The 16,015-nt window shown below is 40.9% G+C and overlaps 1 protein-coding gene and 1 pseudogene across 15 annotated transcripts in view, besides 3 other annotated features; both read left to right on the forward strand.

Annotated features, from left to right (window-relative positions):
* SPATS2L (spermatogenesis associated serine rich 2 like) overlaps positions 1-16,015 on the forward strand; it is a 176,386-nt gene that overhangs the window by 63,979 nt on the left and 96,392 nt on the right. For 2 of the 15 annotated variants that reach the window (XM_047443894.1, XM_047443895.1), the window contains exons 1-2: positions 8,369-8,514; positions 14,010-14,160. The exons of 12 other annotated variants lie outside the window; for them this stretch is intronic. The gene's annotated coding sequence lies outside the window, so the exon portion shown is untranslated. Of the gene's footprint in view, positions 1-8,368; positions 8,515-14,009; positions 14,161-16,015 lie in introns of those variants that run through there. One more of the 15 variants, XM_005246458.3, reaches the window with a different exon arrangement.
* RNY4P34 (RNY4 pseudogene 34) lies at positions 3,321-3,410 on the forward strand (annotated as a pseudogene).
* Positions 4,271-4,320: an enhancer, noted in NCBI's record as "active region_16956". NCBI's record gives its function as "activates an Ori minimal core promoter by ATAC-STARR-seq in GM12878 lymphoblastoid cells {active_cell/tissue: GM12878}" and the evidence as "EXISTENCE:reporter gene assay evidence [ECO:0000049][PMID:35858748]".
* Positions 8,794-9,320: an enhancer, noted in NCBI's record as "H3K4me1 hESC enhancer chr2:201243374-201243900 (GRCh37/hg19 assembly coordinates)". NCBI's record gives its function as "activates a minimal SCP1, AML or CMV promoter by ChIP-STARR-seq in naive H9 embryonic stem cells {active_cell/tissue: H9 hESC(naive)}" and the evidence as "EXISTENCE:reporter gene assay evidence [ECO:0000049][PMID:30033119]".
* Positions 14,020-14,159: an enhancer, noted in NCBI's record as "active region_16957". NCBI's record gives its function as "activates an Ori minimal core promoter by ATAC-STARR-seq in GM12878 lymphoblastoid cells {active_cell/tissue: GM12878}" and the evidence as "EXISTENCE:reporter gene assay evidence [ECO:0000049][PMID:35858748]".

Here is a 16,015-nt window from a genome sequence, read left to right on the forward strand (position 1 = left end):
TAAAGAAAAAAAATAAGAAAGAGACAAGATCTCTGATGAGAGAAAAACAAAGTACTATTGCTCCCTTCTTATTCTTGCCTTTTAATCAAGGATACTGATTTCTCACCTGTAAGGGTAAAACAAAATGTGAGTAAGAAGGAACTGAGGTCCCCAGCAGTGTAGTGCTAGGCCCTTAGTGCCTCGTCATGGACTGGGGCCACCTGGCCGGGATTGCATCACATGCCTTGCTCACCTGTGACTGTTGCTGCAGTCAGTCATCTGTGAGAATGGCAAAGAATGGAGAAAGCCCCCAGAAGCTTGGTGATTGACAAAAAGAGAAAACATAAAAGCTCAGCAAAATTCTGGAATTTATTCTGAAAACAGAAAACACTCAGAAAAGCAAGTGATAATCATTAGGCTCCAAGAAGTCAAGCAGGACTAAGTGATTTTCCTGTTCAATAGAATAAATGGAATGCAAAGTGAAGAGAATGTAATAGATATGGTGTATATGAATTTCATCAACGCAGTTTTCACAATATCTCGGGGTTTCATTATGGATTTAATGGAGAAATAAGAACTGAATAACAGAATAGTTTCAATGGATTCACAACTAGGTTTGCATAACAAACCCAGAGAGTGCCAAAGAATGGGTCAGTGTAATTGCGGAGGGTAACCAGTATAGACTCTGTTCTATTCCAGATCTCTCTTTATCAGTGACATGAATGGTGATGATTTTGATGAAACAATAGAAATAACTGACATTTATTGAACTCTTATGTGTCAAAAACTGTTCTATTATTCTATATATATTAGTTTATTTAATCTTCACAATTCTGTGTAGTTGATATTGATAACCTTTTATCTCCACTTTATGAATGAGTAAACTGCAACACAGAGAGTTTAATTTCCTCAAGGTCACACAGTTCCTAAGTGGCAGAGCTGAGATTCAAGCCCAGACTGTGTACTTAATGGCATAAGTGACATAAATGATATCCTTCAATTTGTGAATGACCAAAGTGAAATGGACAGCTAAAGTGGAAAGTTACAGATTTGCTACCCGAAAGAACCTTAATAGGCTTGAGAAATCAGCCAGATTAGTACGACAAAATTAATTTGAGCCAAATGTAAACACATGCACTTAAGGTTCAAAAAGAAAAATCAACTGCCAAAGTAAAGATTGGGGAAATGGGACTCAGGTCATATGAGGAAATCTTGGGGGTTTTAATTGATTGTCGGCTCATTATGATCAGTGTATACCGTGATGTGATTATCAAGAAAATGCAATCTTAGGCTGCATTTAAAAATGAATAAAACCACTGAGTATATACATGTATATATGTATCTCAGGGTGGGAAGAATAAAGTTCTCAAGTTCTGACAAGACAAAATGTCTTATCCACAAATTAATTTAGGAATGTATTATATAAAGTTCTTTCCAACTCTGACATCCTTTGATTCTATGAACAAGTCTGTACTAGGATAGAGGAAAGCATACGTAAGATGAATCTGAGAATTTTGGAAGAGTGACCAGGTTTAAGGAGTGTCTGAAGGCAGAGCTAGCACATTCATGGAAGGCAGTTGCCTCCGTCTTAGCTAAGGGTTTAGTCACAAGTAGACTTGTACAGAAAAAGCTCTTTTAGGATGCATGGATCCCCATTGTAGAATATGTTTGAGCAAGGTCTGGATGGCTATTTAATGAGGATATTGACTGCGGGATTAACTTACAGCTCAGGAGTATGTATCTCAGGGTGAGAAGACTCCAGACTATGTCAAATGAGGAATAAGTGCACTCTCAAGAATAAAGTTCTCAAGATCTGCCAAGACAAAATGTCTTATCTACAAATTAATTTGGGAATGGATAAATTCCCTTATACATAGAGTCCCAGGACTCCAGAAGAGTAAACAGTTACTGGATGTTGAGTTCAGTGTTGAAGCTTCACCAACTTGCAGATTGTGGGTACATTAGGACCAGGAGATGCTTCTCATGAAGGTTGGGTTGAGTTACAAACCAACCCAAACATGCAAAATCTGTTAGAAGATATTTGTGTCATCGAACAGCTTCTTTAGATTTTGCTTTGAACGGTAAGTCATACCGTGTTTTCTAACAAAGCCGTAGATTTGAGGCATTTCTGGCCCTGCCTGCAGGAAGAAAGGCTCTTTCCATCACCATCTCAGACTCCCAGGCATAAAAACCCAAAGGAAATAATTGACTTCTGAGAGTGTGCCTTGTAGGTATCAGCTGGACTTGACTTGGCTTCAATTTTTGCTTCAAGCTTTCAGACAACACATGACTAAGACAGAATGAGACCACTCTAGTTGCCTCATGGGAAACTCGGGAAAAGACTGCAAAAACAACATTGTTTCTCCCTTTGGAATTCTGGAGTTATAAGGCAGAGGTCCCCCATCTTCCCGAACTGTAAGTGAATTCCCTCTCCATTATCCTCATTCAATGGCCAGCCAGCTTCTGCTTGAACAGATTCTGTGACAGGAGTCTCACTACCTCCCAGGACAGCTTCACCTGCCCTTTAATGACACCAAATGTAACAGGAATAAAGGGAAAGGAACATAAGGAGATAGTAAGTTAAGGAATGGATAAGAAAGAATGTGGCCCAGGAAAGGGTATTCCATGGTGGTTTGTCCTCACTGGGAAGTGGGGAGCAAAATTTAACGCACTGAGAAAATGTTGTTCCTCCCATTGATAATTTTCCTTCCCCCTTTGGCATTTTTGCCAAGCCAGCTTTACATCTACGATTCTAATTTTTGTGAATACTAAGATGTTGCAACTGGAATGAACCCTCTAAATAATTTTTAAGCTACATATTCCCTTAATTTGTATTGAACCAAAACAATGGCACCAGACTAGTGGAATGAGGACCAGCTTCGGAGTTAGTTTGAGAGGTTTCAGTCCCAGCCTTGCTGTTGACTAGCTCTGGGACCTGGGCCTTAACATATAAGCCTTAGTTCCCTCATCTCTAAAATGGAGATAATAATACCTACATGCAGATACATTGTGAGGTCTCAGTGAAATAGAATCATCCAGTGTGGTGCCTAAAGAGGGTTTTGTTTGGTTTGTTCACTGCTGTATCCCCAGCACCTAGGATGGTACCTGGCACAGAGCAGGTGCCCACTAAGTGCTAAAATGAATACTGAATGAATGAATGACTGTGGTCAGTAAATGATAGCTATTGCTAAAGGCATGGCAGAGCTGTCAGACACAAGAAGTGTTTGTAAAGCAAGAGGCTGATTATTCAGAGGCTTGAAGGATAATGCTTTGTCATAAGCTAAATTAATTTTTCCCCACCATACAGCATGGCTTTAGGATTCTTCAAAAACTAACTACGTTGGTCTGATGGTAGTGGGTTACCAGAACTTATTAACATTAGTGTCACTAAAGTTGGCATATAATCCCCCTGTGCTAAATTTGACTGCCTTAACAAAAAAAAAAAAAAAAAAAAAAGAACAAAACTGACTAATACTGTGACCATTAGAGTCTTTCCTCCATCCTTACCCTATGTTCTGTATGAAACATCTAGAGGGGTCGCATTCTGTCTAGTCAAGTATCATTCGAAAGCTTGGAACAAAAAATGAAACCAAGACTTAAAGACTGGCTGGTAGCCATTCAGAAATAGATACAAATGTAGATTAAGTTTTGAAGACATTTTTCTTTTCTAATACCTCCTCGCATTTTTAAGAGAAGCATTTAGTAAAACAAACAAGAGTGTCTTTTCAGTGTCTGGTTATCTCTTTTTCCAGACTGAGTTTGGTAAATTATGTAATATTTGGTGTTAGTCATCTCACAGGATGTAAAATCAGGTAAAAATAAAACCAAAAGGAATCTTAAATATAATTTATGAGTTACTTTCCTAGAGGTAAGTGTAACTCGCCTATATAATTTTATTTTTTTGGAGTCCTTTAATATTTGTTAGATTAAAGCATATATTTTTACAAAACTGAAAGTACTGAAAGTCAGCTTGCACCAATTTGAAGTTATTTTAAAAGATCCTGTTTTCAATTCAGTATTTCAAGAATAATAGAGAAAATGCATAAGGTCTAGATTCAGAACCATGTAACCAAAAATGACAGTGGGGTGGGAGGGAGAATTGGGCTGGGATAGGATGAGAAGGAACTTTCCCATTTACTAAAAGAAAAATGAAACAAGGATATTACCTCTAGCTGCATTACGAACAGAACAAATGTAAACCACACCATATAGACACCTTCTCAAATACTGCCTTCTGATGTCATCTCATTGCTTACTGCCTGCTAATCTTATCTCCCTGCAGGAGCCAATCTTAAATTTATACTGCATCATAATTAACTAAATACATTGCATCTAGCAGAGACAAATCGTGGCCTCCCAGTAAATATTTATTAACTGACTTTTGTGTGCTAAGCAGGTAGGTTTTATTTCTGGCTTTACACATTAGTCACTGTTTCTGCAAGCGAAGTTTCACTTTCGCTCTTCCTCATACCTGCAGTGCCATTCCGATCATTGCCAGTATTGCCTCAAAGTAGTGCAAAAGAGCACTCCCTCTCTGAAGCCCTCTTTGATTAAGCTCACCTAAACTAAAGCCATCTCATCCCTCCAGAAGCCACTTTATGTACATGGTTGTAGTCATTTCAGAATGATTTGTTGACCATTTTGTTACATTCTTATTTCTCTTGGTTTTGATCCCCCTGTGCATGGCAATATACACCCCCACCAAGAATAGGCATTGGGTCTCAGTTGTCACAGGGACACACACACACAGGCACCCTCTACATGTAGTGTCTGGCCCAGGAGGAGCACACTCAAAGGACATGTTCCACAGTTAGATAATGAAATTGTTAGCATTAGTAAGATAAAACAGACATTCCTAATTATTTGTCTCTACGAATCGGCCAAGAATGGGTATAAATGGAACCAAAGCTGTGAGAGATGGACCTATTTCACCAAACAAGTAATCAAAACCTAATATATTTACACCTCAAAATTGGTGTTAGGTAGATTGAATAACTATGAAAGTCTTCCAAAGGGAAATAATATATGGTATTATATTTAGCTGAGAGGCCTGTGCATTATTTGAGCCACTGTACTAAAAAAGTTTTGTTTCATTCAATCTTTAGAAAAATGATTTGGAAGAGATTAAACTATGTATTGCTAATGCTTGTACACCATTGGAAGCATCTGGTACTTTCTGAACTTCCCCCAGTGTGAGTTGAGCCATAGGGCAGGCTAGAGCTCCGTGCAAAGTAGAGAGGATGTGTGTCTGCACTCCATCCTTTTATGCTACAAACTAAGAGTGTGGCCAAGGCAGGCCATGAGGTGGTTTATGAAGCGTCCGTAAAGTGCATGTAGGTGCCAACAGCAATGAAAATCCCTCTCTGTGCTGGAGTTACGTGGGTATATAGGAGTGAGGCTAATGGTTAAATGTGTTTAGCATTGGGTGAAAATGAATTTTTTTTTCATACTCCATAGAAAAGGTTAACTTCAGTCTTTCTTTTTTGGACAAAAGTGTAGGCTTTGATCGAGAGGAACTAGAGAGCTATAGTCTAGTGACTTTATCCTGGGTATAAGGCTCTACAGTAAGAAGAAATAAAATCAGTAAAAGATGGTAGGCAAGTTACCAGGTTAAAGAGGGGATACATGAGGCCCAATAAGGATGATATAGAAGGTTTGGGTGCTTATGATTAGACCTTGACTCTGATAATGGCTAAAAGATATTGCAAGGTTGGAGGTATGCTGGGAGGAAGAGCAGAGTGGATTGGAAGGTGTGTGAAATGATGTGGCTAGAACAATATTGGACAATGCTGGGTTTTCTGTTTTTTGAGATAGGGTCTTACTCTGTCATCCAGGCTGGAGTGCCAGTGGCATGATCACAGCTCACTGCAGCCTCCACCTCCCGGGCTCAAGTGATCCTCCCACTTCAGCTTCCCTAGTAGCTGGGACTACAGGCACATGCAACCACACCTGGCTAATTTTAGTACTTTTAGTAGAGACAGGGTTTCACCGTGTTGCCCAGGCTGCTCTCGAACTCCTGGACTCGAAGGATCCTCCCACCTCAGCCTCCCAAAGTGCTGGGATTACAGGCATGAGTGACTGTGCCCAGCCTGACAGTGCTGGTTTTAAAAGGGTGGCATTTAAAGTGATAACTTAGTATGAGGGGTTAAAAACTGGAGAAAAAATTATTAAAAATTCATTGCAAGCAAGACAGGAAGAATAAAATGAGAGGACATTTATTCCTTTCTTTCCATGTGTCTTCATTGAACACTTAGCTTGTCAAAGGCATTGTATTTGGAACTTTGGAAGAGAGAAAGGCAAAGTGGAATTTATCAGAAGCAGTCTTTTTAAAAGGAAGGAATTCTTTTTGTAACGTATTAAATCTGTTAAAGTCATGTATATTTGAAGCACTTTAAAACTATTTATTAATTTCCCATTACAGCATATTTCAGGTGACAAATTTCTATTTTGTATTACAGCTGGAAATGGAAAGTTCACTAAGATAGTAAATATGACCCCCTAGAATCCTGAGCATATAATAAATGATCAAAATGAGTTTTTATTATCTGTGACTGCATTAGAATAAACTAAAGGGAATTAAAATCATATGAATTCTTTCTTTTATTCATGTTGATACAATTACCTGAAATCATGTATGGAAAGAGGTTTAGTAATTTTTAGATTGTTCCCTTATTAGCTCCAAGGCTTTATTTGAACTTTGCTCTTTCTATGTTATGACTGTTTGTTGTCCTTTGAAGACAAGTACCTTAAGCTGTGAATTTGGTCACGAAAGCACTGAGCACATCTGATAGCTACAAGGCAGGAAATCGTGACCTGACATTGGTTTCCGATCCATTCTATGCAGAAGTGGTATTGTAGTAATGGATTTGCTTCTGCCAGTGCAGCTGTTTTAAAAGCATGGAACACAAATGACCCTGTGGACACAGACAGAGCCCTGAGAGTTCGTATTTCCTTAGCAGGGCTGCAGTCAGGCCCCTAGCTTCGGGCCGCCACCCTCTCCTCTCTGGAGTCACCCCACCTCTCCCATCAGGTGACAGTATGAGTTGGAAAAGGGACGGGTGTAGCCACACCAGGACAACTTGTGGTCAGAAGGTCAGGTTTCAAGGGCCGGCTCCGTTACTGGCTGGATGCATGTTGGTAACCTCATAATCCTTAGATTCTCACCTGTAAAATGAGGACAGTGGGAAAGCTACCACATGAGCTATGAGAGCATCTATTTATATTCTTTTATAGCACTTTTATAGCACTTGCTGTGTGCCAGGCACTGTTGTAATCACTTTACAAACATGAACTCATTTCATCCTTCTTACCACGCTATGCCGTAGTTACTATTATTATCCCTATTTTACTGATGAGGAAACACGGCCTAGATCAAAGTACTTGCCCAAATCCCAAAACTAGTAAGAGGTAGAGCTGGGATTCAATCTTGGTGAATCGTAATTGCTTGTTTTCGGTCATAAGAACATAAGGAAGAATCTGTATTGCAGAAAATAGGCAGTGTTTACTCTGCGAGATTACTTAAGGGCCCAAGATCCTGTGCTTGGTGACAGAGGCACAGGGCTGGTGGTAGCAGCTTTCTAGGCCAACTGCTTGTGTGTGGTCAGCTAGATGGGCTCTGATGGTGGGGCCTGATCTGAGAGGGAAGTGAGCCTTTCTAAGAACATGTAGAATGTATGTGTTAGATTTCTAAAACTCAAACCAGTGAACAGGTAACATATATAGGACTAATGTGTGTGTAGATGGAGCAGGTCTGACAGGTAAGAAAACCCTCTCCACTCTGCCCCAAATGTACTCTATCACATGCTTCTCACCCTGGCTTTTTGCCGTTAAACTGAATAAAGATCAGGCAAGAACTTCACTTCCTTGTGTGAGCACATGCCCCTTAATAAAATGTATACCCCTAGACATGGTTTTTACATTTTCCATTTAATGCAAAATTAGCTAACAGATGTTTTCAATTAGGTGTAGAACCAGGAACTGGTTTCAGGGTGCAGTGTAAGAATGTGTACTAATTGATTGATATGCCTGTCCTGGTGTCGCCTGGAAGATAAGAAGCCCTTAGCAGACAATCATGCCCAGAAACTGACCTTTGGAATGATGACTACAGTCCCAGCCTATACCTTCTCAGCCTCAGGGGCAGTGAGTGTAAAGGTTGCAAGTTCAGTCTTAGAGCTATACCTTCCCTAAGATAAGAAGGATGAAGAGCTGGCATTCACTAACAGGACCCTGAAGGCAAAAACACTGGGCAGTTTCACAAAAAGGGAACAAGTAGTCTCTCTGAAGGTGAGTCTTTCTGTTGCTCAGGTGACCAAGGCCACCAACCCCCTGCTGATTACTCAGCCACGCCCAAGATCCTGCTACTACCCTGGTTTCTGGCTCCACATTCGTCACTATTGAGATGACTTACTGGTCACAGTAAAAGCAAGTTGATAAAGGTGGCCAGTGGGGGAACAGAGCTTATGTGCCTCCTGAGAAAGCCAGTCGCTGGAAACTGGACTGAGAGCCCTGATTTGGAGCACGAGGAAACCTTAAAAAGTGAGTTGAGGTTGCATTTGCTGGGAAGCCATAGGAAGAACAGTAATGGGGTGGGAAAGGGGGCTGGCTGCCTGGGGGTACTCTCCAACTGGAAGTCCAAGCCCTGCCTTCACTCCCCAGTATTTCTTTCCCACCAAGTGCCAGTGCGTTTAAGGCAGTACATCATATACTGTTTTTGTTCCGCCAGTGCCAGTGACATTTCAAGGAACTAGGAAGAAAACTGACTTTCTCTGCCACTTTGAGAAAATTATTAAATGTTTACTAGGAGTGTTCTGACTCAATGAACTAGGATACTGTGAGTTTGTTGGAACAGAGATTTTTGAAACCAGAATGTGCTGTGAAGAGATGATGGGTTCCTTTTCCACATTTTTATTCCATGACAACCGAGCCAGCTTCCCAGAGTTAGCTATAAACACAGAGCTTTTGTTTGCCAGGTTTAGTTAGGGGTTCTTTTTGCTGGTTCAGAGTTATATTGCAGAACCACAATCCATGTTTTCTTTGGACGTGAATATGCAGTGTTGTCCTTATAAAGATCCCATTAAAAGTTTAAAAAGCATACAGCCCCATCCCCAGCCCCGCTAACAGCAAGCGTGCCTCTAATACCTTTGCGCCTGACTCTCTGGGATGGGACTTTTGAGCTGGACAGACCACAGCCCCAGTGTTGCTGTGCCCAAAACCTTGAGCCAGCTGAATTCCAACTCTAATTCTTCCAGTTCTTAATCTCATTTCCTTCCCCACTTCCTTGCCTGGCGTTCTCCTTTGTTTTTGTGTACATATCTGTCTTCATCATTGATCTTTAAGCTCCTTTGGGGCCAAGAGCTCTGGAGCCAGGAGATATAAGTTCGAATCTTAGCTCAACCAGGTACTGAATAACTTTGTGACTTAGTGAGTAGCTTACCTCTCTGTGCTCATGTTTATTTTTCTATAAAATGGTGATAACGAAAATAGAAGTACACACTGCTTAGGGCAATTCTGAGAACAAAAGGAGTTAATACATGGAACGTGCTTAGAGCATTGCTGGGTATACGGTAAGAGTTCAGTAAGTGTAGCTTTAACCACTGCCAGCATTCCCCACAGACCCTGGTGCATTGTCGGTGTTTAATGAATGTTTGTCAAATTATAAGAAAAAACATTGCCCTTTCTGTAGGAATTGCCCATAGCTAAAGAGATGGGGGAAGGAAAGGAAGAAAGGGAACACATATTTCTTTTTCAACATTGGGGAGTTTGTGGTAAAGTACTTGGGGCTCTGGAGTATAAAGAACTATGTTTGATCTTTTGTCCAAACCCCTCTGGGATTTGGGATTTGCCAGCGGGTGGTGGGGGGGATGGGGGAGGAAAGCAGTGTGATCTGCAGGGAGAGAACCAATTACAGTATGCTTGGAGAGGGTGACATTTATTCTGCTGAACCTCTTCTCTGCTTCACATAACGTTGGCCACTTCACCTTTCCTGAGATGTCTCTGAGGATGGGCATATTTTAAAGACTTGAGCTTACATCATCGCATCTTGAAAGAACCGAGTATAATTGAGTTGCTGATACAAGTGGGTACTTGCACCAGGTCCGGGTCACCCACATCTCTATGGAAACACATGTTTGCTTTAAAGCCCAGCAATCAGAAGCAGATCCTTATAGGAGCCAGCATTGGGTCACTTTTAGAAAAAGGCATTTATTTATATTCTCAAGCCAGCAGAGACCTATGAAATGAAATAATTTCAAATTAAATAGAAAAACCATGCCGTAGGTGAATGCTAATAAAGCCTGCCGTGCGTCCTCCTCCCCCTGTGCTTGCACTGCCTCAGATCCGCTGCATTTATTTTAGCTGTCCTTTGCTCTTTTGTGCCCATTTGCATTCTGCTGCTGTGAGGAGGTGGTTTGGCACTTTATGCAAAAATGGTTAATCTTCATTCATAAGCATTTGCCAGTACTAAAATGGAAAATTCAAAGCTGGGACTGCCATAAAGTGTGTTTTGTGTTCTGCTCTGCCGTGTACGTGCAGCATATACAACAGTGTGCGCCACGCAGATGACTCTGCCTGCCATACAAGCACTCAGCACTCGGGGCTGTTGAGTGAAGAGGTTCTCCCATGAAGGTCTCAAACTTGCATGAGCACATCTTGCCCTAGATCTGCTCAAGTGATATTCTAAGTGATTGGAAGCTTTTATCTGCCTCTGAAAGCAGGCCTTTTCAAATAAGTATTGACTGTTAATGACCTGTTTAAATAAAACATTCAATTTTCTTTCTTCCCCCCACAAAGAACTTAGTAGGCAGTGACATTTCTAAACCAAAGGCTAACCCTGCTTTTCAAAAGAGGCCAAGCCAGAGCTTTTAAATGTGAAATTTTTTTCTGACATTTGCCCTTAAAATGCTTTTCAGTGAAGTTGTTCTAACAGTGGGTTGAGTACATTGAAATGTCTTTGAATGAAAATGCAACCTTGAGTTTTTTTCTCCAAATTAAACAAAAAATGCCAATCTAAGTATATTCATATGAAATTCATATTTCAGTCACCACCCTGTTTCATTGTTTATGTTTCTCAGTCCTAATAATTAAAGCGACTTTCCTCTAAGGAACAAGAACTTTTATTAAACTATGGAAATTAAACCACAGAAACAAAGAGCAAAAACACTTGAAATATAAGAGACCTGAGTCATTACCATGCCAGATAAGGAGTAGCAAAGGATGGAGGGAAAAGGAGGAGGGGACAAAACGGAAGAGAAATTAGGCAATTTAACAGTTAGGCCACAGAAAACATACCTAGTACTAAGTTTAGACCAAATCTCAGTTTTGAAGAAGGAGCATTTGTTTCCCTCTTCAGCTGGCATGCAAGTGCCCCTGATTGTGCTTAGGGCCCTGGATGGTTAGTCTCTGGTTTAAAAGTGACCTGTACAGAGAAATAGCCTACTACTGTACATCATTGGAGACAGCACCCACGCCTTTTATAAGTGTTTCCATCAACTCCCAGTGCCTGTACAAACCTGTAGTACCTGAGAGCCAAAAGAGACCACAGAGTTCATTTCCTCCAACCTGGAGATCTGAGGCCCTCGTGCCACAGTGTGGCCTGTCAGGATGAATGATGCCCTTTATAGACAGATGTGAAGTTCTTCCAACTCTCCCTATCGAAGGGTACCTGTCTTGTTTCCCATCCTGTCAGAGCACTGCTGTCTGCTAAGGGCCAATTGACGGCAGTAGGAGAATGAAATAAATTAGTCTGTGATAGTGCGCCTTCTTCCAGAGGTAATATATTGCATGCCTTCAACTAAGTAGAAATGCATATGTCTCTTGAGAAGCCATACTCAGAGATACTGTTGGATGCTGTTTTGCCTGAGAGATTTTTGCTGCTTCTCAAATCACATGGCATAATTGACTTCCTACGCACAAAATCAGTGCTGATTCTTCCCCTCTGAGGCAGCCATGAGAAAATGTCTTAGGATCTACGTGATCATAGTGATGCAGGATTTTTGAATAGCATTGTCTAGGCTATACCAAAGTCAGGTACACAGACACTTTAATTACTCTTAGTAATTAAGTTAGTAATTCAGTTAGTTATGCCTTTAGACCCCAGAATGTCACAGAGCCACTGGGCTGCATCACAGCTCGCAAGAAACAATTTGTTGGCTGAGGGCCCACTAACTGCAACTCTTTGCACCTTCACCTGAGGTAGGAAGCTGCAGGAAAACAGCCGTTTTTTGGTGGGGTCGGGGTTGTGGTGAATGGAGTCACTCTGTCACCCAGGCTGGAGTGCAGTGACATGATCTTAGCTCACTGCAACTTCCGCCCCACCTACCGGGTTCAAGCAATTCTCCTGTCTCAGCCCCACCCCATCCCCCTCCCCAGTACCTGGGACTACAAACACACGCCATCATGCCCAGCTAATTTTTGTATTTTTAGTAGAGACGAGGTTTTGTCATACTGATCAGGCTGGTCTCGAACTCCTGACCTTAGGTGATCCACCCGCCTCGGCCTCCCAAAATGCTGGGATTATAGGAGTGAGCCATCTCACCCAGCCAAAAATAGCCATTTCTTTGAAACAAGTTCATTTATGCCCATTCCTGTGTGAGTGGAGTGGTTTCGCACTGCAGTTTGTGCATCCTGCAAATGCGCAAGGCATATACTGTGGGCCTGTCTGGCCTGAGAAGGCAGGTCCCGTGGAACGGTTTTATTCCCCTGGTGGAGTTCTTACTGCATTTCATAGACAGTGAGCCCTGTGACTTGTTTATGATGGTTTTGAGGTGCTGTTAGCCCAATGGCCGTGGGCTTGCTGAGTTGGACTGCCTTAGGTTTGAGTCCTGGCCCTGCCACTTAACTGTGGGACCTTGAGCAGTTACTAGATCTCTTTGTGCTTCAGTTTCCACGTATGTAAAAATGGGGATAATCTTAATTTCTATTCGTAGGGTTGTGACGGTAAAATGAAAAAAAATGTATGTCAAGCACTTAGCAGAGTGTCTGGTACGTTATAAGTTCTCCAGAAGTGTGCTAATTATTATTAATAATATATTTTTGAAAAGATTATTCCTTAACGACGTAATTTGTAGGAAACTGGCTTTCCCCTTATCTCTCTAGGCTTCCATGAGAATCTATTTCTTGTGTGTAGTGTTTGGGATTAAGGAAGAGGCTCTTTCTTTATGTTCCAGGATGGAGACACTAGTAGTTCTCACGGTTTTGCTAGTGCACGTCCGAATACCCTGCGGGGCTTGTTAAGCACTGACTGCTGTGCTGCCCCTGCCCTCCAGAGCTTCTCTTTCTGTCTGGTGAGGGGCAGAGTATTTGCATCTTTAACAAGTTCCCAGGTGATGCTGAGGCCACTCATCTGGGAACCACACTTTAAGAACCCCTGCTCTAGGACAGTACTTTCCAGTGGAAATATAATGTAAGCCACACATAAAATCATACATTTTCTAGCAGTCACATTAAAAAAGTGAAAAGAAGTGGATGAAATTAATTTTAATACTGTATTTTATTTAATCCAATCTATCAAATGCTATCATTTCAACATATAGTCGATATAAAAAGTATTAATGAGACAGCTTATATTCCTTTTTTTGTACTCAGTCTTTGAAACTCGGCCTCTATTAAACCCTTCCAGCACATTTCACTTTAGACTAGCCACATTCAAATCTGGCTTTGCATGAAAATGACCTGGGAGTCACTGTTTTCCATCACAACTTCCCCACACCAACTGACCTTGGGGCCCAGAAATCTCAGTTTTTCAGAGCTCCCTGGTTAAGTCTGTTGATTAGCCAGAAAGTCAAGTCGATCCAGTCTCTACCAACTTGGTCATTTTCCCTCTCTAAGTCATACGTCATGACATTTGGCATTTACCCACTCCAGCTTACATTATGATAATTTATGAAATACCCTATTAACGGCCCCAAATATGCAGTATGATTTCTATGTTTTTACAAATCATGGGAAATTTTGCATTAATAACCTTGAAAATTTTGTTAAAATCATTACTTAAAATGTTTTCTTATATATTTCCTATGGTTTCTTAAATCCAGTTCAAGCAAAGTGATGTAATACCCAAGAACAGGAAAGTAAACCTAAGAGCATTAATGGGTTTCAGAGAAACGAAAGTGAAACTTTATTACTGCCTACACAATCAAACAGGAGGGAGAAAGGAGACAAGCAAGTCAGAAAGCGATTTGATAGGTCAGTACATTGATAGAACTTTGCATGTTTTATGTGATTGCATTAGAAACATAAATATATATTTTTAAAACTTTACAGATAACTCATACATATTAAAATTTGTTGAATTATATCAATTGGAAATACAGAGACAGACATATTTGCCAGAATGTCTATTATTTGGGTTTATTTTTCATAAAACATGTTTATCTTTGTTCTAAGCTAATAGATTTTCTGGCTACTGTTAATGCATATTCTGTAAGATTTTTGCTCAGTGATCAGTTCAATATAATTTTGTGTTTGAAGTGATTGGTGGTAACCATATTTGTGGTTCATAAATTTTATTTATTTATTTATTTATTTATTTATTTATTTGAGATGGAGTCTTGCTCTGTCGCCCAGGCTGGAGTGCAGTGGCGCAATCTCAGCTCACTGCAAGCTCTGCCTCCCGGATTCATGCCATTCTCCTGCCTCAGCCTCCCCAGCAGCTGGGACTACAGGCGCATGCCGCCATGCCGGCTAATTTTCTGTATTTTTAGTAGAGACAGGGTTTCACCGTGTTAGCCAGGATGGTCTTGATCTCCTGACCTCGTGATCCACCCACCTCGGCCTCCCAAAGTGCTGGGATTACAGACGTGAGCCACCGCGCCCAGCTGTGGTTCATAAATTTTATACTAGAAAAGTATATATAGATGATGTATTAAAATGGTGAAAATCTTTCCTTTATGACTAATATGTTTCCCTAATAAGTTTTAACAGTTTCCTTGATCTCTATTTTTCTTTAGGACATATGTAAAAATTAGATGATTATATCTACATATGTTTATAATGGTATTACTGAAATCTAAATTGCAATTTTTAGGAAAAAAGTTTTAAAAAATGTCTAAGCTATTGAAATGTTGCACCAATATCAGGACTTATATTTCTGAGTATCTTAATTTTGTGTTGATTGATTGGTATGTATGGAACATGTATTCGTGGACTTGAATAGTTAGCCCGCAGTAATTGGTCTGTTCCAATAACAATTTTAAATGATAATAACAAGGAGAAACCAGGTTCTTCTCAAGAAGTCAAAGATCCCTGTACCTTTCTTATAGATTTAAAAGCTCCTGTGGTCGATACATATTAAGGTATGAGTATTCAGTCATGTTTGGCAGTGATACACTACCAAGCATGATGACCAAGATGTCAGGGAGAAGGTCTGTTGTCCCCAGACATCTGTTACTCACTGTAGGTCCTAAAAATCACAGCATTAGAGGCTTCTTGGGCTTACCTAGAAGTCTGCACCTTAGAGGGCTGAGGCTTCACGTTGCTAAACCCTGGGCCTGTCATGTGAAATCAGGTGAAAATATATTGAAAAGTTCCTTGACTACTTTAAACAATTAAGATTTAGATGAAATTGAGCTGACTGGGCAGATATAGTTCATAGCAGAAAAGAGAATCTCAAAATAGGGACACAGCACTGTTTCATTTTCATAGCAGGGAGGGTCAGCTCAGGAAAGGTAATGAGTACATGATGTTATGCAGGGGCAAGGTGGGCTTCCGGACATTCTGGAGGGACTAGTGCTGATTGGAGGGTGCAGACACTCAACGAGGACCTTCAGGACACACCGAAAATAACCTCACCTGTCCCACAGTTTCCCCAGTGTTTGTCCTTAGCAGTAGAACCCAATTTGACTATCTAGTCACTTAAACTTAAAATTTTTTTTTTTTTTAGATGGAGTCTCGCTCTGTCGCCCAGGCTGGAGTGCAGTGGTGCGATCTTGGCTCACTGCAAGCTCTGCCTCCTGGGTTCACGCCATTCTCCTGCCTCAGCCTCCCGAGTAGCTGGGACTACAGGCGCCCGCCACCACACCCAGCTAATTTTTTTGTATTT

Source organism: Homo sapiens, chromosome 2 (genome assembly GCF_000001405.40).
Source record: "Homo sapiens chromosome 2, GRCh38.p14 Primary Assembly".
Taxonomy (NCBI): Eukaryota; Metazoa; Chordata; class Mammalia; order Primates; family Hominidae; genus Homo; species Homo sapiens.